This window comes from Homo sapiens, chromosome 9, assembly GCF_000001405.40.
Source record: "Homo sapiens chromosome 9, GRCh38.p14 Primary Assembly".
NCBI lineage: Eukaryota > Metazoa > Chordata > Mammalia > Primates > Hominidae > Homo > Homo sapiens.
Window position 1 is genome coordinate 14317480 of NC_000009.12, and position 23377 is coordinate 14340856.

Below are 23377 nucleotides of genomic sequence, written 5' to 3' on the forward strand. Positions count from 1 at the left end.
TAGTTTTTGGTTTTGATTTGTTTCCCAGAAAAAGGAAAATGAGATAGGAGTATGGTGAGGCGAGGAAAACCAAAAAGGAATGAAGAGTGAGCAACAGAGACTTCCTGAAAAAGAAGGTTTATGGGGGTGCTCAGTTTCTATGGCTTTGACTGTCTTCTCAGGCCTTGCAGCCATGTGGAGAATGGCTGACACCCCCCAAAACACTTCTTCTTGTCCAGCCAATGCCAAGGTCATTGCAGGCCTTCCCTGGAAGAACTCTAGGGAGTTGTTTGGAAAGAGGGACTGGTGGATTTCGGTGCATGGGATGCCTGGCTTCTCTTAACACAACACTTGTCCACCACCTTTGGTTTGAAAATCTCAATCTTTTAAATCCCAGGTAGAAGGAGGAACTGAGAAAGTGCCTGCATTGTATTCACTTTCCATTTTTTCTAGCACGTCTGTGTCGTGGTATTAAGAGTGGAAATATCTCTGAAAAGCTTCTGATAGTATCAAAATGGGCCAAACACTTCTTAAACTTTGGTACTTACCAATCCTAAACTCTTCATCTCTCCCTCCCACACTGAGAGGGTTAAAAGCACTGGTGTGACAGGCCACTTTCATTCACCCCAAAACCTGGCTGAGGAGGCAGAAAGAAGTGAATGATTCTCTCAGCAACAGGAAACTCTGTTATTTCAGTATTCTTAAAGATCTCCTCCCTAGATCTCCTTGCTGCCTTATAAGGGAAAAAAAAAAGTTTCCTTTCTAACTAACAGAAAGTTTATTGATTTCTAAATAGAATGCCAGTGCTTCAGCTCACTGGATTTTTCAAAACCCAGTTGTATATTTGAAATAAGCAACGCTACCACATTTGAGCCTTTCACTACGGATCTCCAGAGAGGAGCTTGACATCTCAAGTATCTAATATTGTTTTTCTTTTAACCTTTTCCTTCCTAAAGAAATTGCAGCGACAGGTTGCAAATCCTGGGCAGTTTCATGAAAGATTTCTTGGAACTTAACAAAGCTGTCATTTCCAATACACTCGATGCCTTTTTTTTTTTTTTTTTTTTTTTTTGGCTCTTGCATGTGGTTTGCAAGAAGGTTCAACTATTCTACACACCCTGGCTGCATCACCAATATCAATATTTAAAAACTAAATGCAAAAGAGACAGATGACCTCCTGACCCCAGAAAGCAGGCCTGCAAAACTGCAAGTATCTACTGCACCATGCCCTGGGATCTTTCCTTTTTCCAAATGAACCACAAAAATCATACATGTGTAGTCTGGAAAACACAAATTTATATCCACAAGGAGGAACACCAAAAATCCACTCATAAATGCATATATAAACAATCAAGAAGTATTGAAAGTGCCTGTACTTGATGAGAATTGCAAAATCAATTTTACCAGCTCAGGTAATCAAATTACCCAGCTCTTAAACTACTACTGAGTACTACTACTACTGTCTACTACTCTTAAACAAAAAACAAAATCATACCCAGCCCTTAACGTACTACTGTCAAATTAGGGTAGTAATTTTTTCCCCACCAGAGAATTCACAACTGGTTAGTTTCCCCACCCCCATTGCTAGCCCTTTGCACTGAAATGAATAAATAACCTTGGACCTTTTTCTCCTCCTCTGGGAGCTATTTGGTGTCCCCTGAGGACAAAAGTAAATGAGAAAAATGACGCTGTTAATAATGTCACTGCCGAAATGCCTCTACTCCACTGTTTAAAAAAAAAAAAAAAGCATCCCACTAAGTGTGTCTACATTTCTAGCATATTTACAAGTTATAATACAGTTCTGATCTCAACACCAACTGAGCCAGATTCCTCCACTAAGGTTATCCGGTTTTCACTTCTCAACAGAGATGAGGCCAGTGCATCAACAGAGATTCCCAACACTGTAAGACACTTGCTTCACAGATTACAAAGTCAGCAGTTGCCCTGTAACTTTTGCATGATGTATTTTAAACTTTGAAAATAGAGGTAATAGTTGCCTCACTTATCCACAATGTTACAAAGGTTCCATATACTCTCTCACACAGTGTCTCTTGTCTGCTGATATTGAGAGAGTTGCAGTTATTGCTCTTTTTCAAAATAGCTGACCTATAAAGTAAAACTATATGACCATTTTATTTCTACAGGTAAACTGGCTTCTATTACCCATATACACATGCCTTGTAACATAGGAAAACAGATGGGTTTTTAAGACAGGTATAGAAAGCTCTGTCCAAAATGGCTAAGTAGTCTTTACATTCTGTATTAAGTATAAAAAGTGCATGGCAGAGCAACTCAAACTTTCTGCACCCCTTTCTCTCATTTCTTCTTTGAAAACTGCATAACAATGCATAACAACAAAATTTCAAAGTCAAAGCAATGCATAACAACAGAATTGTGCATTTTAATTTTCAAATTAAAATTTAAGAAACAATTTTGTAATTACAAAGAAAAAACACAAACAATTGGGCCTAAACAAAATATATGTTCAGTAAACTTTATCTCTGAGTGTATCTGAAATTTTAACTACACAAGCCAATAAATTTCAAAGCAGTAATATTATCAAATTGTGTAATGTCAAAAACTCCAAAAACAAAGTTACAGATGTTCATGACATCACATTCACTCAAAATTATGCTGCTGTTCAGTCTGACCATATTAAAATTAAAGGGATGCCTATGTCTGCTAAAGAATAAAAATTTATTTTGGACCTCAAACAATGAAACCGTCACCATTTCTTGTATGGAACACTCAGCTAATCAATTTCCTATTAAAATAGCTTTCAACAATACTTGGCTTTAAAATTCATCAGGGCCAGTAAAAACGTTTTCCCAGTGCACAAGAATGCAGTCCCAACCACCGATGATAATTACTGTTCTAATAATTTTATTGCCAAAGTACTTTTTCCTGTGTTCCTCATCACTTAGGCAGGAATCTGTAGTATATTGCGTCAGTGAGTTGGAGTGCTTGACCTTTGCCCACATATGATTTAATAGGGACTTTTCAGCGCTAGAGCTTTCTCCATCTCTCATACCATTAAATGAAAACATCAAACCTCAAATGTAAAACTGGAAACCACAACGTTTTGTGTTTCACAAACTCTTTGCAGTTTTTACTTAGGATGCTTAAAGGTCAGTTTCTTTGCCTCACAATGCTTTTCTTCATATTGTAAATACACTGGAAAGTCACACTAATTCTGATTTTGATTAAATCTTGAACTCCTCAGTCATATACACACATACACCCTGCTTATTTACACGTGCATTCTTTTCTAACCACATAAGCATGCGTGTGTTACTTTCTGGACTTATTCCATTTTAGGGCTGATTTAAATGTCTGTTCAAGTGTGGGATCAAAAGTTAACTTTTTCCCGCCTATTGGAAGTTAAAGTTACAAGGATGGTGCTATAAGATCCGTTCAAAGAAAGTCAGAGTTAATCTTGTGTATTTTGGCGCCTTTTCCCTGCCAGCTACTGTACTTGGGGGGTGGGGGAAAAATACTTAGAGATCTTGTCTGTCCTGTCTCAAGTTCAGTGGCAGTTCTTCCAACCCGAGCAGAAGATGGCCATGTTCACAGCCCTAATAATAATTCTGATCACGCCACTTCAGCATCTTGTGTCAAAGTCGAAACTGGCTTCCCCGCCCCCTTCAATCTGAAAGCTGCCAAGTCCTCACACACTTCACATTCAACCACAACTTAATGGATGGGATATTGTGCATTAAAATGTGTCTCAGACGTATTGGGGAAAAGAAGACAAGGAGAACGAGAGATAGAGACACACATAGGAAGAGGAAAAAAATCGGCAGCAAAAATAGCGGGGTTGGGGGGAAACTATTAACAGGAGTGGAAAGAAATCCATCAAAATCGGTTTTAAAAAGTTGGTGGGGGGTGCGGAAGAAAGGCTAACAATAGGATGCCACAAATTCAGGGATGAGGGGATGGGGGTTAGGACTAAACTTTAGAATGAATACTGACTTTAAACATTCCAACACACCAATCAGAGTTAAATAGTACTTCTTTCACTTAAAAATGTATTTTTAAATGAGAATATCTGTGAATTAAAATGGAGAAAAGAATGCTTCAAGAGGAGAGAATGGCCTACAAGGTAGAACTAAAGTATCATTTGAACAGTAATTTTTTTCCACCACTGAGGGGAGAGGGGCATAAAGCAGAGAGTTAAAGCAGAACAAAATGCTAGATTCTGCACCGTTTGGACCACAATGTTACTCACTGATTCCCGTCATAAGAGTGTGTCACATGTACTAAAGTTGCCAACGCTAAATAATAATGCATATTTGCAAATTAGTTCTGCAAATGCAGCACTATAGCCCACAACCTGTAAAACAAAAATGACATTTAGGAAAGGGGTAAAACAGCCACTTTGCAATCCACAAACAGGAAAAGAAAAACTGTGCCAGGGATAGGAGGGGGTGCAAAGAACGAATAAAAGAAGCAAACAAAACCCATCAGTTCAAAGCCACATACCATCGCACTGTATTGCATTAAATAAAAGAGATCTTGAGTCTGTAACAGAACCCTGGGCCGCTGACTTGACGTGTCTCAGGTACAGATTTGTGGATTTTCTCAGGGGTTGTTTTGGTGTCGCTTTTTGTGTTTAGTTAAAAAAAAAAAAAAAAAAAAAAAAAAGCAATCCGGGAGTAGTCTTATGTATTTTTTAATTGTAATTTCTGCACTGCCACAGTTCTTGGCCCGAGAAGAAAAGGCGGTCAAAGTCAAGTCTAAAAGCAGGCAGCCCTTCAGTCTGTCTGGATTTCCAGCTTTCTTTCCTCTCCCTTGCAGAAGGCTGTTTCTCGTGCTTGACTTGAACGCCGTCCAGGATGGTGTGTGTGTGTGCGCCCGCGTGTGCGTGTGTGCATGTATGTGTGTGTGTGGTGGGTTTTATTGTTGTTTTAGCGGGGCTGCTCCAGGAGTGGGGCTGCGCCGGTCAGATGCAGCCGGCACGGCCCCGGGGTCGCGCGATCGCCCCTTCCCCGCCCTCGGATTGGCCTGGCCCGCGGCGGGGCTGCCCCGGAACCGCCACCCAGCAGCGCACCCTTCCGCGCCCGGCCCGCGCTCCTCCTGCAGTCGCCTCCCTGGCTTTCTCTTTCTCCGGCTCGCGGCCCGCCCCGCCCCACCCTACCACGGCCGGCCTGGGCGCGCGGGAAGCGCGGCTCTTCGCTTCCGCCTGGCGGCGGGAAGGAAACCGAAAGGAGGAGCCGGGGGCGGGCGCGCCGCGATGCATATTCATCAGGGCGCCCGGGACCCGGGAGGCGGGAGCGGGCCCGAGTGGGTGTGGCGGCCTGCGCCGCGCGGCGCCCCTCTCGAGCGTGGGTGGGTGCGTGGGTAGCGGTGGGGCTCTGGTCTTTGTGCGGCCGCATGGGGCCGGAGAGCGGCGAGGGCGTGACCGTCTCGGGGGCTGCTGCCCAGGCTCCGCGCGCCTTTGTGCTTCCCGACCGTGTGTCTGCGGCGCGCCGCGGGCAAGGGGCCCCTCGCCGGCCTTCTGGAGCAGGAACCCGGCCGAAAACGCCGCGGAAAGACTCTAAAACAACAATAATGATAAAGAATAAGGAATTGCTGTTACTTCCTCACTTCCCGCCACGTTGCTGGCTTCAACTTCGCCAGGCCACGTTTGTTTCCGTGTAGGAGGACTCCCGAAATGTTCCTGGCTGCGCAGCGTTATCATTAAAGCAAAAGGACCAGAAAGAGCGCACTTTGACTTATATTGATAGGTAGTCACGCGAATATCAAAAAAATAGATCAGTAATTTAGAAGTGGGTGAAACAACCAACACCAAAGAGATAATACAACCCCGGAGTTCCCAGAAGTAAACACTCTAGAGGAGATTGGATAGTGAGTTAATGTTCATAAAGCAAGCAGTTTTGATCAGCATTTTGGAAACAAATATATGTAGGGGGATTTTTTTTTTCTTAGTTTTTGAGTAATGCAATTCTTTTCATGTTAAGTATCTGTAGTTATGTCGGGAAATAATGTTTAACAGTTTAAATTGTTATACAAGTATTAAAAGTAAAAATATAACACTAGCCCTAACATTTACTTAGTAGTAACCCACATACATTTAGAAAAGATTTTATTACAGAGATCCTGACTAATTATGTAATTGCACAACAGACGACGATAGCTTCAGGTATTCTCTAAAAACCCTGTTGAATTATGTGATTACCAGTGAGACTAGAATAGCTCCCGATGAATTATTCTTATCTCTCTACTAAATGTGAGCACGTCAGTATTTTAATCTCAATTATGTTTACCCTCAAAGTCCTAGAGAACTTAAACGACATTGTTCGGGTTCATACCTCCTACAACACGCAGTATTTTTTTTTAAAAAAAGGCATGGCCTTATTACCAAAAAAAAGTTTTTTCCCCTTGTATACACATCATACATACGTTTGGCTGTGTGTGAATAATATACATAGCTATTTTCAGTGATAATAAGTGCAAAACTAAAAGTGGGATTGGCCCAATTAGACTTTAGAAAATGCCCAACTTTAAAATAATTTGTCTAACTGCAAGTTTAACAGTTCCCAATTTCTCCTCCAAAAAAATTAGCATATACAGCTTGGAGAAGGGGAATGAATGACTGGGAGGGAGGGGATACACACATGTAGCTATCTCCACACTCAGCTATAACTTCCCAAGGAAAATTAATTTTTAATGTTTATCTTGCTCCAAGTTATTGTAACCACTTAGCGAGTATAGCTATAACTCAGTCTCCCCACTCAGTTCAAGTGGGTAACAAACAGATCTGTTTTCATTCTAGGATTTCCAAATAGTAGTTTCATGGTCAAGTAAATCACATTTAGTACTAAGGAAACAAATATAAAATATAAAGATTCTATGCAGCTAAATAAAAAATTTATTTAGAGTGAGAGGATAACACTTGACCAACAGAAGAATGATGGATATAGAAATAAGTAACATGTAAGTAACACTTGCATGGGCAGTGTTATCAAATACTAAAACTTTTATGTAAGTGTGCAACAGAAAGTCTTCTCTGTTATTATTTGAAGTCCGCAGCAGAATTACCAATCCCTCCCAATGTCATTACATGCAAAGGAGAAAGGACATTATAGAGAGAATCTAGATTTGTTTAGGAAATATTTTGAGACACAAAATAGGAAAAGGAATAGGGAAAGAAAGAGAAAAGTATTTCCTCCATTCTCATGATGACTTGGAGGAATCCAGAGTTTGTATCACCTGTCAAAGAATTTCTATCTAAGCATTTTATTTAGTCATAAAATGTACCATTGTGTGTCATGTTCAGGCTTTCATATATTATCTTTTTTTATTTGGATGTCTGTTTCTTTTGACATGTGAAGCTTATAATGATACTTATTCCTATATCCAGCATTCTTCTGTTGGTCAAATATGTACACATATTATCATTAGATGATACCTAAGGTTTATAAAATAGGGAGACTGATTTTCAAGCATGTCTTAGAGAAATTGGTCTTGCTAATTTTTAGTTACCTCAACGTGTTGTTGCTTCTAAATTTTTTAATTGGTAAATAGTTATGGTCTTTTAATCTACAACGTCGCCTGCTTTTCTGGTTTTTATATTTTGCAATGTAAATAAATATGCAAAAAACTGAGAAGTGTTTTGAAATAGATGCTCCTTTTTAAATGAAAATTATCTTGGTTGAAAGCCTTTCTAAGAATATAATTAAGGTCCAGTATCTTTTTATATTAATCTTTTGTTATAAATTATAAATAATTATTCATTTTTTAAAAATAGCACTGTCCAACACTAGTTAAGCATTTTGGGCCTCTGGCACATCTAACTGAGTGATTCCAGTGTTTTTAAATGACATTTTTTTCTGCCTTAAGTTGCAGGCACAATTCATTCCATAGAACTTACCAGAAGCTTCACAAATACACTTGCAGTTAAGATTTTTCTGCTTCTTCCTAAAGCCAATTAACTGGTAATGCAGTTTCTGTATGTTGTCTTCAAATTAAGAATTTTAAAAATGTACTAGCAACATCTGTGTATATTTATCTTTGAGAATAATCACTATATAATTATTTCTAAAAGGCTTGCATTATTACAATGCTTTATATCATAATTGAAGTAATTCCTCTACCCCATCTAAACCAGTAATTTTGAGTCATTACCCCAAAGGTGTTTATTTTGTCTTACTTTTCTATTTCTCAAAAATAGAGAAAGTGTGTTTTAATTTCTATGATTTTTATATTATTAAAGGGTACACACTGGTTTATTAGATTTTTATATTTAGTCCATTATTATACCAGAATTTGTGCAAATTTAAAGTATGTAATAAAGATAGTGGCATATTTAGGATGCAATACTAAATAAAACATATACCATCTTTTAAAACAATTGGATATTGAAAAATAATATTTTTAGAATTTAAAAAATACATAATGTATTTTTGAATATGAACATATAAACACATTCTTTTAAAACAATTGGATAACTATTTTTAGAATTTAAAATGCATATTGTATTTTTAATATAAATTTGGAAAGATTCATATTTTTTATTGCCTCAGGCAATAGTTTTAAATATTTCCTAATTATATAAAAATAGGGAGGCTTAAATTAGGACATTTATAAAGTGCCAAATGTTGGCATTTTGTCAGATTTCATTAGATGAGAGCTGTCCCTGCACTACTTTTATTCAGGAGAGGAGAGTGCATGTCTAGTGTATTGTCCTGTAAGAGGAAAACCCAGGCATAAATAACAAGTCATGGTAATAATTTGTATTATTCATTGGTTATAGCACTCTTCAGCTGTAATTCATTATGCCTCTTCTTTAGATATTGATGGTAAAAACAAATGCGATACCATTCCTACAAGACATAGTCGCCCATCATAAAGAATTATATTTGTGGAAAAGACTTCAAGAAATTACAAGATAGGCATCTGCAGTGGAGTTGAAACACCACACTGCCCAGGACAGGCACACTGGGTCATTTTCTAACCATTGAGAGTATGGGTACAAAAATAAATATACACATGCAGTGTTCCTTCTTTCACTAACTACATGCTGCACCTGTGCACACATAGATCTGATGACATCTTCTAACATAATAAATCTCAAGTGGTTTGTGGTGTCATCAAAAACCTGAGATGGTGGTATGGCTCATAGCCTTACCAACCCCCGGCTATGGCCTTGTTAAATTTCACAAGCTAAATAGAGACAGACTCAGACTTATTCCATGCACCAACCAGAGGTTTTCAAGAGCAGGTTAAAGTGGTTTACAGAAAAAAAAAAAAAAAAAAGCCTGCAGTTATGACTCAATGTGTGAAAAATCTGCTCTCTGATTCAACAGTGGTAAATCCAGGATGCCTTCTAGCTTTAAAAAATAATGTTTATTGCAATTGTTATGAATTCTCAGTTTGAAGTATCAACGATTTCTTAGCCTATTTATGTTTTTAAGACTTATAAAAATACTATGAGCAATTAATCTTCCTATCTTGCTTACTCACACTTTTGTGCAACTTTAGAATTTCAACCATCAAAATGCCCTTAAAAAGAAAACAATAAATTGGAATCAATTTCAGCTATAATGATTAAATTGAGCATAAAAAAGCAAGTGTTTTCTGCAAAAAATTTCAGGATATTTTATGCCATATTAAGGTTTCTGAAACAACAGAATTACTAAGGTATTTTTTTTTTAACCATTTTCAAAAAACAGAGGCATCTGGCAATCCAGAAATTAGTGAGGCAACAGGATGCACGAAAGCGCTAGACAGTCTACTGATCCTTCAGTATAGTCCTGGCAAAAGACCATCCTGCCTTTTGCTCAGTGAGGCCACATTCAAAAGAAAGTCAATGTTAATTCCCCTATATTCAAATCCTGTGGCCAAATGTCCCCAGTGTCACAGATTCCTGTTGGCATATCTAGAACATGTTGATATCATTTCAAGTTGCCTTTTACTTAAAGAAGATCAATAACTATATTTTGTGTCTATATTCCGTAAGTAAGAAATCGTAGGTGCAGCCCAGGGAGTAGAGGAGGAATTCATTCCTACTACAAACACACATTGCATGCTTAGCATGGGTCTGGACCTTGGGCTGGGTGCTGCCATACAAGTATAGATAGGTTTTTGAGGATCTCTGCATTCGTGATATGAAGGCCTTCTATTCTGTTGTGCTAATATTTTCCTCCAAATTTGTTTAGAAAAGAGTAGCCTTCCCATGGGGTGTTTTGAAAACCTTCAAATAAACTCTAAATAACAACCTGTGGTTTTCTGCTCACTTTGCAAGCAGCTGATGTGGGCTTGTAGAATGAAAATAGTGTTCATATAGAAACCAAAGAAAAATGTAATTAGGGATGATAAGTCAGCTGCCCTTCTCATCCCACTTCATCCACTAAAACAAAACAAACCAAAACAAAACCCTCCTATAATATATTCAAAAGTCAAACAAACAAAGTTGGGAAAATTTTGATACCACTATGGTTCATGATGTGAGAAATATTTTTGTAAACAGAAGAAGAGAGAAGGGAGCAGTGGTAGATGGAAAAATTCAGGCACATAGAATTTACCTAGCACCCAACCAGTACTGCTTTCTTTTACCAACTTTTTGTTCGAGGATGATTGACAAGCAAATATGGAGGTCAGAATAGAAATACAAGTTTTAGGAACATACCTAAAGTCACTGCCTCTGCTTTTTTCTCTTCATATCTGGCACCTTCTGAATTGCTCCCCGCCTTTTTTTCTTTTGTGATAAGGTCTTACTCTGTCACCAAACCTGGAGTGCAGTGGTGCTATCAGGGCTCACTACATCCTTGACCTCCAGACCCAAGGGATCCTCCCACCTCAGCCTCCTGAGTAGCTGCCACCACAGGTGTGCACCACCATGCCTGGCTAATTTTTTACATTTTTTTGTAGAGATGGGATGTAACCATGTTGCCTAGTCTGGTCTCAAACTCCTGGGCTCAAGTGGTCTTCCTGCCTCAGCCTCCCAAAGTGCTAGGATTATTATAGGCGTGAGCCATGGCATGGGGCCCTGAGCTGCCCTTAATATATATATATATTTTAACCATTATCTTTAATTTTTTTTGGTTATATGAACAATAGTAGAGATACTTTAAATGAACAATTAACAAGATAAAAAAGATATCCACCCACAGTCCCATCACCTAAAAAATTTGTTTCATGTGCATATATCTGGTATCTGCTTATATGTAATATATATATATATGATTGCATAGTTATAATCTTAAAATGAATATAATTTCATTTCATAATTTTTCCACTTAATTTTCTATTTGTATTGTTGATATTAGTGAATGGTCACAAAATTGTGAAATTAGTGACAAATGGTCACAGAATTGTAAAGTTGTTAAAATTAAAAGAGACTTTTGAGACCTGTAGATAAGAGATTAAGAAACAAAACTGGAACCAACTTTTGTTTTTTCCCTCCTAAATTTGTAATGTTGATATTTACTGTTAACATTTAAAACTTGATATATTTTGTTGAAAAATCTAGATATTTTGCTTTTTTTGAAAAAGTGGAAGGTGAGACTTTTTGGGCAAGTGTTGCACATAACACGAAGAGTTTGGAGTGGAGTAGCAACTGCCCCCTTTAGATGGGGCTTGGTCTCCACAGTCCCCTTTGCCCCTTCTTGTATCATATTGGCCTGCTTTCCTCACTTAGATTTCTGACTTGCTTTCTATACCCCTAAGTGTACAGTTCTTGATCTAGATCAAATGCTCTTCTTATAGATGAAAAACAAAGTTCAGAGAGGTAAAGTGACTTACTTATGGCTGCTAAGCTAGTTAGTTGCAGTGCCAGCATCCTAAAGGACACCTCCTGACTCTAAACAAGCACTCTTTGTATTAATGTTTTTTTCAGAGCATGTGGGGAAGGGGCTTCTGTGTGCCAGTATGAGCAGCCTCACCATAACTACTGTGACCACAAGCTCCTTTATAGACTGAAATGTCCCAGGATAGCCACTCATCACCTTTTATGCTCCAGGTCATAATTAACATTTGATGTCCACATGCCAAACACCTGACCCCCCTGCAAATCCTGGGCCCACTCACAGTGAGTGACTCCTTGTCTTTCTCTTTTTCTTTTTTTCTTTTTTAAGACGGAGTCTCACTCTGTCACCCAGGCTGGAGTGCAGTGGCGCAACCTCGGCTCACTGCAACCTCCACCTCCCAGGTTCAAGCAATTCTTCTGCCTCAGCCTCCCGAGCAGCTGAGACTACAGGTGCGTACCACCATGCCTGGCCAATTTTTGTATTTTTAGTAGAGATGGAGTTTCACCATATTGCCCAGGCTGGTCTCCAACTCCTGACCTCATGATCCACCCGCCTCAGCCTCCCAAAGTGCTGGGATTATAGGCGTGAGCCACCACGCCCAGCCATCTTTCTCTTATTAAAAACCCAGTAACAGGCCGGGCACAGTGGCTCACGCCTGTAATCCCAGCACTTTGGGAGGCTGAGGCAGGCGGATCACGAGGTCAGGAGATCAAGACCATCCTGGCTAATACGGTGAAACCCCGTCTCTACTAAAAATACAAAAAATTAGCTGGGCGTGGGTGGTGGCACAGGCCTGTAGTCTCAGCTACTCGGGAAGCTGAGGCAGGAGAATCACTTGAACCCTGGAGGCAGAGGTTGAAGTGAGCCAAGATCGCGCCACTGCACTCCAGCCTGGGCCACAGAGAGAGACTCCGTCTCAAAAAACAAAACAGAAAACAAAGAAACAAACAAACGAAAACCAGTAACAGAATGCAAGTGAGGGAGGATGATCACTTTATGGGGATAACATCAAATATGCTCTAATTGATAAAGGAAGTACCTAACTAAAAAGTTAAATACTTTATAATATTCTTATCTGACATACCTCACAGAAATGTGATCATGTGCTAAGACCCTAGTAGAGAATCATCATCCTAAAAAATATAAAGATTCCCTCTGTACAGAGACCATATTTTCCGATCACTAAATCAGAACACATGGTGCAACCAAGCATTTTTTTTTAAATGATTTTAAGATTTTGAAAAGTTTTGAAAAACGTTTTTTAAATAGTTTTTAACCGTGTTTTAATAAATCCATTCTATGAAAATAACAAATGTATACCATCTAAGAATGATGATCCATGTCTGTTGTAAAATTCTTAGAAATTTGCCTAGAAAATGGGATTTGATGACAATCACTGCCATTTCATCATCATAAGCATCCTGTGTAGTTTGTACTTGCAGTGCTTTGTTTTTTTAGACAGAACACCACTCTCTAGGTTTTGCTCCCAAATGGAGGTAGACCTGAGGACACACATAGAGTGCCACAGAGTCAACACGGTGAATAATTGAGAAGCTCGTACATTATGTACATGTTGAGTCTACAGTTACTCTCTTGGTGGGTGAAGAAGAGGTCCATATTCAATCAGGCTCCAGGCTCATTCATAGATGTGATCTTAATGGCCCATATTCTAATGAAAGCACCCTGTTAATTGGGCAGCTTGGGCTCTCTACTTCATATATAGGAGTCCAGCCCCTCTGTACTGAGTTTCCCCGAGGTCTAGATATGCAAGCTTTTTCGGGGGCATTTTAAGTGACTACCTACCAGCCGGATCTTCTCTTCTGTGACCAATTTAGGCCAATGGCAGCACTTTAATTAAGCAAGGCCTCCCTGGGGCAATGGTTTCTCCCAACTTTAGATTAAAAGTACCATCAAGACAAGTGATAATAATTACTATTTACTGAGGTCTCACTATGCTTCCGCCCTGTGCTCAGTACTGTATTTCATCTAAGCTCTTTTAAAGACGAGGCACTGGAGGTTTGGAAAGACTGAGTAACCAATTGAAGGTCAGAGCATTCATGATCCAGGTCATTCTAATTCCCAAGCCCGTTGCCATAGCTTAATAGTTTATGCAGCAAGGACATGAAACTACTAGATGAATGGGGCCCAGTCACAGGACTTGCCTTGGAGGCTTTCCACTATGCCTCAAAGCATTTTTATCACTCTTCTTTTGAAATTGCCTTTTAAACCCCAGGCACATTCTTCTAAATATTATCAATAGGGTAGATCTTCCTCCTTTGAGTGTGGATTTAAGTTTTGGATATAGCCAGGATTCATTCAATACCCTGTGGGGATTAAAGAACTTATCAAGCTGGGTAAACCAGTTTGGGTTGAAAACGAGGCATGTCAATGTAAGAAGGTTATATTCATTCTCCAGTATGTTCTGAAAGTAATGGAATATAGGCTTTCAACTTGGACCTGGAGGCATTGACTTTTTGGGTTCAAATCCTGACTTAGCCACGCAAAGGCTATGTGACTCTGGACAAGGCAGGTAATGATTCTTAACCACGATTCCCTTACCTTCGAAAATCATGCCTGCTTCAGTGTGGTTGTTTGGGGATCAAAATTTTTCATTTGTCAAAATATGTAGGACTGTTTCTGAAACATAGTCCTTTCTCAATAAATATTTTCTGAATCTATATATCGATTATTACTTTTCTTTGTCCTCGTTCTTCAAATAGGGTGAGAGATGATAAACAAGAATAGATATGGTCTGCGACAATGACCAGACTCCAAGCCTCTCTGAGTGCCCCTAGGCCTGTGATAGCATTTATTTGCAATTATAGTTTAAAAACCAAGAGGAAGCCAGGTGGGGTGGCTCACACCTGTAATGCCAGCACTTTAGGAAGCCGAAGCTGGTGGATCACTTGAAGTCAGGAGTTAGAGACCAGCCTGGCCAACATGGTGAAACCCCGTCTCTACTAAAAATACAAAAACTAACTGGGCGTCGTGGTGGGCGCCTGTAATCCCAGCTATTCGGGAGGCTGAGGCAGGAGAATCGCTTGAACCTGGGAGGCAGAGGTTGCAGTCAGCAGAGATCGTGCCACTGCACTCCAGCCTGGGCAACAGAGCGAGACTCCGTCAAAAAAAAAAAAAAAAAAAACACACAAGAAGAATCTCCCTAGCTCCCTGATGCCAAGAGAGATGGATATAAAGTAGACTGTGTTGTAGTTTGAAGTTTCTGGGGGGCAGTTTTATCTCAAGGTTGCTTTTAGGTTTTTCCTAGAAAGGTAAGAAATTTAACAGCATCTTGAGCAACTGCATGTTCATAAATATTTATGGAGCACCTCCCCTGTGCCACGCCCTGTGCTCAAGTTGAGACGGGAGCAGTGAGGACCGGAGCAGTGTCCAAAAGGTGCTTTGGTGACAGGCATTGAATGATGCTGCCCAAATGCTAAGAATTGAGAACATATCAGAACCTACCAACACAAAGAGTGTTAGTCATCTATTGAAGAAGACGTCGTCACTTATCAGGCAACAAGTGAATGCCTGCTGTGCCCAGGAAATACAGTACGAACAAAACCAGTGATATTCTAGTGTGGAGGAGAGAGACGGATGGGGAGTGGGAGGGGAAAATGAGGCTATAGCTAACAGAAACATAGAGCTTGTGTGCTGTTGTTCTGAGGCCATGAGCTTGCCAGTCTGTTCAATGAGGTCGGAAGGGTGGTCTGATAATTCTAGAAGTCTTGCAGGAAGGCTTTTATCAAAAGAAGGAAATGAGAAGTGTGCAAAGCCTTTCTACAGCCTACAGTCAATCAGGGGTATTCAGGGGTATCTAGAGAGGAGACAGGATAGAGCAGCCTCCAAGGAACGCTATTGTAGAGCTTTGGCAGCTGATCTGGAACCACCTTGGTCTCTCCTTGGCAGCACCCTGCAAGCCTGAATGCTTTGAGAGATGTATGCCCTTTCACTCTGGCTTATGCTCACTTTCACAACACTTATGAAATACATTATCTCATTTGATCCTCCTAATAATCCTATATTACAGGTGTAATCTTGTCTCTTGTTTTACAGATGAGAAGATTTGTGTGCATAGAGAATAAATAAATCACCCAAGGTCAATAGCTTGCAGGTATCAGAGGCAGGATTTGAACCTAGGAAATGTGGTTCTAGAGCCTTAGCTCTTAGCCATGAATTATAAGCAGACTTTTTCTTCACCCCTCTTTCCTCATCCTCCCACTCAACAGAGTGGCTTGTACCCACCCTTAAAATCTCTTCTCCTTCCCTTAGGGCTCATTCTAGGCCCCACAACTCCCTAATGGGGAGACATATCATGGGCACCTTTATAGTTCAACTACTCCACACTATAGCCTGGTCAAAACTTAGTCACTGAAAAGAGTCACTTCAGCAGCCTTGGCCTAAGTCTTTGGATCCCTAAAAAGTAAGACCTAAGTGACTGCCTTGTCTCTCTTCCTGTGCTTTCGAAAAAGAAATTGTCGTGTGGTCATACCATTGAATATTATATAACACCGAGAAGAACAACCTTCTATATAATGTGTATCTAGGAAAGTATACATCACGAGTGTATAGCTAAATGTATTTTCCATGTCACCACCATACATCTTAAGAGATGAAAAATTATTGGCAATGCAGAAACCGTCTCCCAATCTCAGCAAATTACTAGCCCTAATATTCTTCCCAAAGACAACCGCTGTACTGATTTCTAACAATACAAACTTGTACTGCCTGGTTTTGAACTTTACATAAGAAAAAGCATACAATATTTACTGTTATGTCTGAATTATTTCGTTCAGCCTTTCATGTGACATTCCTCTCTGCGATTGCAGGTAACCGTGTTTTGTTTTGTTGTTTCCACATTGCAGTATGGAATTCTATTGTATGCATACAGCACAGTTTATCTATTCTGTACCCAACAAACCTTGGGTTGTTTCCAGTTTGAGGCCAATATAAATAATGGAGATATGAACATTGTCTACATGTTTTCTATTACACATATGTATGCATTCTTTTGGGGTATAAGCCTATGAGTAGAATTTCTCAGTTATAAAGTATGCCTGTGGTAAATTTTCGTAGACAATGCCAAATGGATTTCCAAAGTGGATGTAGTAATTTATACTCCCACCAGCAGTATATCAGTTTTAATTGCTTCACATCTTCATCAAGACTATATTCCAACGTATAGCAATATTTCCATGTGGTTTTAATTTGCATTTTTCAAATGACTGATGAGGCTGAGCACCTTTTCATCTGCTTATTAACCTTTTGGATATCCTCTTTGAAATGTCTGTTCAAATATTTTTCCCGTTTTTATTTGCACTCTTCTACCTTTTTCTTGTTGATTTGTAGGAGTTCTTTGTATACTCTACACGTGAGTCCTTTGCCAGTTTATATCTGTTGCAGATTTCTCTTCCTACTTTGAGGCTTACAATTCCACTCTTTTAATGTTGCAATATTTTTTTTAAAAAAACATGTTTATTCAGGTGTAACTGCCATACAATAAACTGCACATGTTTAAAGCGTACTAATTGATAAGTTTTGACATCCATATACACCCATGAAACCATTACCACCATCAAGATAGGCAACATTTCTATTACCTCTAAAAATGTTTATATGCCTCTTGGTGATCCCTCTGTCCTTTTCTACCTCCCTTACAACCACTGATCTACTTTCTATCATTATAGCTTAATTTGCATTTTATAACATTTTATGTAAATGGAATCAAACAGTATGTACTCTTTTTCATCTGGCTTCTTTCTTTCAGCATAATTATTTTGATATTCATCCATGTTGTTGTAACAATAGTTCATTTCTTTTTATTACTCATTAGTACTCCATTGTATTGTATAACATAATTTATCTGTCACCTGTTGATGGACAATTAGGTTTTTTCCAATTTTTGGCTATTACAAATAAAGCTGCTATGAACATTCATGTACAAGTCTTTGTATGGACATGTACTTTCAATTCTGTTGGGTAGATATCTAGCAATGGAATGTCTGGGCATATGGCAGATATGGCAGGTGTCTGTTTAACTTTTTAAGAAAATGTCAACACCGTTTTCCAAAAGTGGCTGTATCACTTCACAATTCCACCAGCAATGTATGAGAGCTCCCATTCCTCCACATCCTCACCAGCACTTAGTATGATCAAGCCCTTTTATTTTTAGCCATTCTAGTAAGTATGTAGTGTATCCCATTATCACCGTAGTATTTGTCTCCTTAATAAATAATAGCGTTGAACATCTCTTTATGTGCTTACTTGCCATTTCTATATCTTCTCTGGTAAAATATGTATTCAAAACTTTTTGCCCATTTAAAAAATTGGGTTGTTTGTTTTCTTACTGAATTTTTAAGTTTTTTGTATACTGTGAATACAAAGCCTTTATTAGATGTTTGATTTGCAATATTTTCTGCCACACTGTGGTTTTGCTTTTCAGTCTTCTAACAGGTTCTTTAGAAGAGCAGAATTTTTAAAGTTCGATGAAGTCAAAATTGTGGATTGAGCTTTTGGCTTCATATCTAAGACATTTTGCTTAATCCAACATCATGAAAGATTTTTTCCCTCTGTTTTCTTTCAGAAATTTTATAGTTTTATGTTTTATATTGAGATCTATAATCCATTTTCAGTTAAACTTTGTATTTAGTGCAAGGTATGAGTCAAAATTCATTACTTTTATATGGATATTTAATTGTTCCAACACCATCTATTGAAAAGACTTTTTTCCCCCACTGAATCGAGTTCAAACCTTTGTCCAAAGTCAGTTTTCCACATACATGTGGGTCTATTTCTGTTTTTCTATTCTGTTTCATTGATTTATTTGTCTTTATCCATGTCAATTCCACACTGTCTTAGTTACCATTGTGTCGTTATAAGAAGTCTTGAAATCAGGTAGTGTTAGTTCTCCAGATTTGTGCCTTCAATATTATCTTTGGATGAACTCTTCTGGTATTTTGTCTTGTTTTTAACAAGTTTTCTCCAAGAAACCTTGAATCTGCTCAGACCATGTTACAACATGAAGCTGCAATTAGCACCTGTGGATTTTAATTCCTTTATTCCCTTGGGCCTAAAAGTCATTTTTATTCAAAGATATGTTTTTATAAATGTATGAGCCCTGAAGGGAGTGGGATTGTGGTGGTATTTAACCAAATTATCATCAGCTATTATGGTAACTGACCACCAGCTGAGCACCTGACATTTTTGGAAAATGACTCTACAGACTGACCTCATGGGCCTGGGGAAACCCAGGTGGAAGGTGGGAAGGAGGAGAGCCACCTATTTATGGTAATGCTTACAAGTAACCAGGCATTGCTGGGTGTTTTGTATATAGCAACTCACTTTTTCTAAGATGCTTATAATCTCACTTCTAGAGATATGCTCTGAAGCTGCGGTCCATAAGCCTTTTCTGTAAAGGACTAGATATTTTAAGCAGGACCAGCTTCATGGGCATGGACCTGCGCAGTGGCCCAGAGCCTGTGCTTAGAAAGCTCCTGTGCTTGGTTTAATGCTCTGCAGTCACCACATCGAAACACTTTATTTATTTATTTATTTATTTATTTTGTGCTTTTTTCCCTTTTTATCTAAGTAAGAAGCGCTGCTGAATTTTTCAGTTGAAACTGGGCATTTTGTAGCCATAATGCCCAGATTTTAGGTTTTGCAGGTCATACACTCTCCGTCACAACTACTCAACTCTGCCAATGTTATACACAAAGGGGCCACGGACAATATATAAACAATGAGCCTGGCTGTGTTTCCATAAAACTTTATATATGGATACTGAAATTTGAATTTCATAAAACTTTTCCATGTCATGGGATATTATTCTTCTTTGTTTTTGTTCTTCCAACCATTTCAGAATGTAAAAACCATTCGTAGCTCTCAACCCATATAAGAGCAGTTAACAGGTTCTATTTGGCTTGTGGGTGATAGTTTTCTGGCTGCTACCCTAGGGAGACTCCTGCACATGTGCAGAAGGTAACATATACAAGAAGTTCTCAGTAGAATAGTCCATAAATGCTCCAGAGGAGAAACAAGCAAAAGTTCCCTCAACCACAGAATGGATAAATGCATTGTATTATTTATATACAACACACGGTTGAAAGAAAGAAGCAAGTCATAAAAGGATACATGCAGTATGATTTTATTTATGTAAAGTTCAAAAACAGGCATACAAAAGTGCTGAAATCAAAATAAAAAAGTAAAAGCAAGGAAATGATGGTGAGAAAAATCATAATAATGGTTACCTCTCAGGAGAGGGAGGTGATGGGGTGCGGACCTGGCAATGTTATATTTCTTGACTTGGGGTCATTATTGCATTGGTGTTTACTCTATATTCTTTGAATTAGACATTTTATGTGTATACTCGGAAGTGCACATCTCCTCACTTTAAAATTTCAGTTCTCATTTTCTAACCCTGAGTTGGCATTTGGAGCCCCACTGGGGTGGCGGGGGACACATGCCCAGGCCACACGTTTCCAACTTCCTAAAGCTCCTTTGATGTCATTTTGAAGACCTTTGGCATCCATCTGGCCTCGGGCTCCACACTTCCCAAGAAGAGTCTTGGCTTTTATACATTCAGCTGTTTTTCTTTTCAGTTTACTTTTGTTTCAGACACTGATGCTGTCTGCCAAATTCCCTCAAGGTCAAATCCATATTATTATGGGTTCCATTGTCTTGAAACCTTTCTGCTTATGAATTCTATGTTTTGTAATTTCAAGATGTAATTGTAAATAATTCAATTACATTAGACTGGGCAGTAAATGCATGTACTGGCCACTTTCCCTTTGTCCCTCTGTTCCTCGGTGTTGATTCTTTTCTTAATATTTTTACCTTCTGGCTCTCTATGTGTAGCTGTATGTTGCCATTAACTCAGGCAGGGCTAAATTGAAAGAAAAGAAAATACGTAGCCGGGCGCAGTGGCTCACGCCTGTAATCCCAGCACTTTGGGAGGCCGAGGCAGGCGGATCACAAGGTCAGAAGATCGAGACCATCCTGTCTAACACGGTGAAACCCCATCTCTACTAAAAATACAAAAAATTAGCCGGGCATGGTGGCGGGCGCTTGTAGTCTCAACTACTCGGGAGGCTGAGGCAGGAGAATGGCGTGAACCCGGGAGGCGGAGGTTGCAGTGAGCAGAGATCGCGCCACTGCACTCCAGCCTGGGTGACAGAGCGAGACTCTGTCTCAAAAAAAAAAAAGAAAAGAAAAGAAAAGAAAATATGTATTTGCGGTTGGAAAGGAAATGAGCTTAGGAGTAGAACAACTGGAGTTTGAACCTCTTTGCAATCTATCAGCTGTGTGTTCATAGCTAGTGACCTAACATCTGAGCTTCCCTTTATTTTATCTACAGAAGTGAAGGCTAATAATGAATACTGGAGAGAGTCATTGTGGGAAGTAGATCAGCAAAGATTAAACCAGAAAACATGTGAAATATACCTAGCTCATCACCTCAGCTACCGTGTGACTTGTGGTAGACACACAGTAATACATTAGGGTTTTCTCTTCTTTTCTTCTTTTCTTCCTTCCTTTCTTCCCTCCTTCCCTCATTCTTGTTTCTTTCTCTTTCCTTTATGTTATTACTTTTTTCCTTCATCCATCCATCTATCTATCCATCTCCCTCTCCTCCTTTCTCCTGCCCCTCCTTCCCCCCTTGGATCCCCCTCCCTTCTTTCCTTTCTTTCTGAACCTTTGCGATAGTTTTCCGTCTACTGTCACCAATCACGTTAACCCAGCAATTGCCTAAATAGAGAAAAGATGGTAGGCAGGTTGGGGACAGGAAAAATCAAAGATGGAAACATTCTGCTCATGAGCCTGGGAAAAGAGGACACACCATATTCTCCACTTTACTTGGCCATCCCATTTTAAACTTCTTGTTTCCCCTGAAACTCACAGGTTTGTTCAAATCTAGAAATTGCAGATCTGTAGCAAGTATCCTGTCAGAAAATGTAAAAAGCCTAGAAGAACTGAATCATGATTTTAGGGACAAAAATTGCTTTCACGTAAATCACTTGGAACCCTGTCTGACCTATTGTAAGCACTCAAAAATGTTGGCTATTATTACTATTATTGTTGTTGCTGTGATTATTATTGTTGTTCAGGACAACATCCCAGTATGTGCAACGGAAGTTGTAAGACTATTAGCTGCCTCGTTTGCTAAACGCACACCCAGGTTACAAAGAATGGCGATTCTTTGATAAAAGAATGGCTGATTCTTTGATCATTTCCCAATTTCCCCCGTTGTTTCCCCCTTAAACATTTCATTCTGCCTTTTCCAGAACAAACATCATTATAATCACTTCTTGTTCACATCTCTGATATCCCCATGGCTCTTGCTGCTCTCACTGGTAGTAGCAACACCTCTAAATTTACTACCATCTGCAAATATCATTAGCTATTGTTTATTCCCTCTCCCACACTATTAATGAAGATGTTAATTAAGACCAGAACTAACACTGACCCCAGCAGCAATCCACTAGACATTTATCCAACTGGATAAACTTCTGTTAGTCATTACCCACTGCTCATAGACATTACCACTACTCCATTCTCTTCATCTGCTAATTTGTAAGAGACTAGGGGAGAGAATTAAGGGAGCCCAGGATTATTTAAAAATTAACACCCTGATACTTGGGGTTTTGGAAAGGGATTTGGTAAAACATCAGAAAGACAGTCGTCAGTGGCATGCAGGAGTAAGTGAGCCAGCCTCCCAAAGTATTTGGTAATTGCCTGGCTAAGCTTATGGGTTTCTAAGAATTTAGGAATGCACCGTAAGGCTGGAGTATATAGAGTTTTCAGTCCAGCCACTTCTTCTTACAGATGACCAGACTGAGGCCCAAAGAGGTCAAGTGAGTTGTCCAAAGTTCACCTTTCTAGTTAGTGACAGAACCTGAATTGTAAAGTGGGGCTCTAACTTTCAGTCCTGTGCTGTTTGTAAGAACTTAGAAGCACTCAATCTTGCTTCTAGAGGTTCTGATCTGCGCATTAGCATTTTCCTACCACATTTTAACTTAAGGAGCCCAGTGCCTACCGACTTCATCTTTGTGTCTTCAGCAAACTGTCTCCAATAATAGGAGTTCATTGCATACTTAGTAAAAGAATGGGCGTTCTTCACCAAGAGGCACTATTCTCTTAAACTATAAATTAGAGTTCTCAACCCTAGCTAAACATTAGAATCGCCCAGGGGAACTTGTAAAAAAGAATACCGATGCCCACACCACACTCGTAGCAATTCTAATTTAATTGGATTGAGGAGAAGCCCAGGCACTGGTAACTTTTTAAAGCTCCCCAGATGATTCTAATGTGCAGTGGGGTTGGGAGCCAACTCAGAGGATAAAATGTTTTTCCAAAGACTCCTAAACTGAGAAGTTTCTTGTTCTATAGAAGGGGTTCATACAGAATGGCTGTAACTTAGCAAGTAGAAGCAAACTTTTCTCTCGAACAGGAAACTGGCTGCTCTTCAAACCTTTTCGTTGTGCAGAATGTGAATTACATTGCCAGCTCAGAATGATGTGGTTTGGAATCTATTAATCTGGTGGTGGTATTTATGCCTGGCATTTTTTCCAAACTTAACTTTTGCTCTGTAGGCAGTTGTGCCAACTTAAGAGTAGGGCTACCTCTCAGGTGGTCCGGAAATGAGTTACTGACTTAGT

At 39.3% G+C, this 23377-nt stretch overlaps 1 protein-coding gene and 1 long non-coding RNA gene across 14 annotated transcripts in view, besides 1 other annotated feature; one reads left to right on the forward strand and one right to left on the reverse strand.

Annotated features, from left to right (window-relative positions):
- Window positions 1-23377, reverse strand: part of NFIB (nuclear factor I B) — a 450235-nt gene that overhangs the window by 235637 nt on the left and 191221 nt on the right. For 8 of the 13 annotated variants that reach the window (NR_161383.1, NM_001369478.1, NM_001369470.1 and 5 more), the window contains exon 1: window positions 4462-4908. The exons of the other annotated variants lie outside the window; for them this stretch is intronic. Coding sequence is in view for 7 of the 8 variants with exons in the window: in NM_001369478.1 (NP_001356407.1) it covers window positions 4462-4479 (18 nt within the window). In the remaining variant the exon portion in view is untranslated. Of the gene's footprint in view, window positions 1-4461; window positions 4909-23377 lie in introns of those variants that run through there. 13 annotated transcript variants of the gene reach the window in all.
- The window catches only part of NFIB-AS1 (NFIB antisense RNA 1), a 41478-nt gene that overhangs the window by 393 nt on the left and 17708 nt on the right, over window positions 1-23377 (forward strand). The window lies entirely within an intron of this gene.
- Window positions 4765-5424: a silencer, noted in NCBI's record as "silent region_19774". NCBI's record gives its function as "represses an Ori minimal core promoter by ATAC-STARR-seq in GM12878 lymphoblastoid cells {active_cell/tissue: GM12878}" and the evidence as "EXISTENCE:reporter gene assay evidence [ECO:0000049][PMID:35858748]".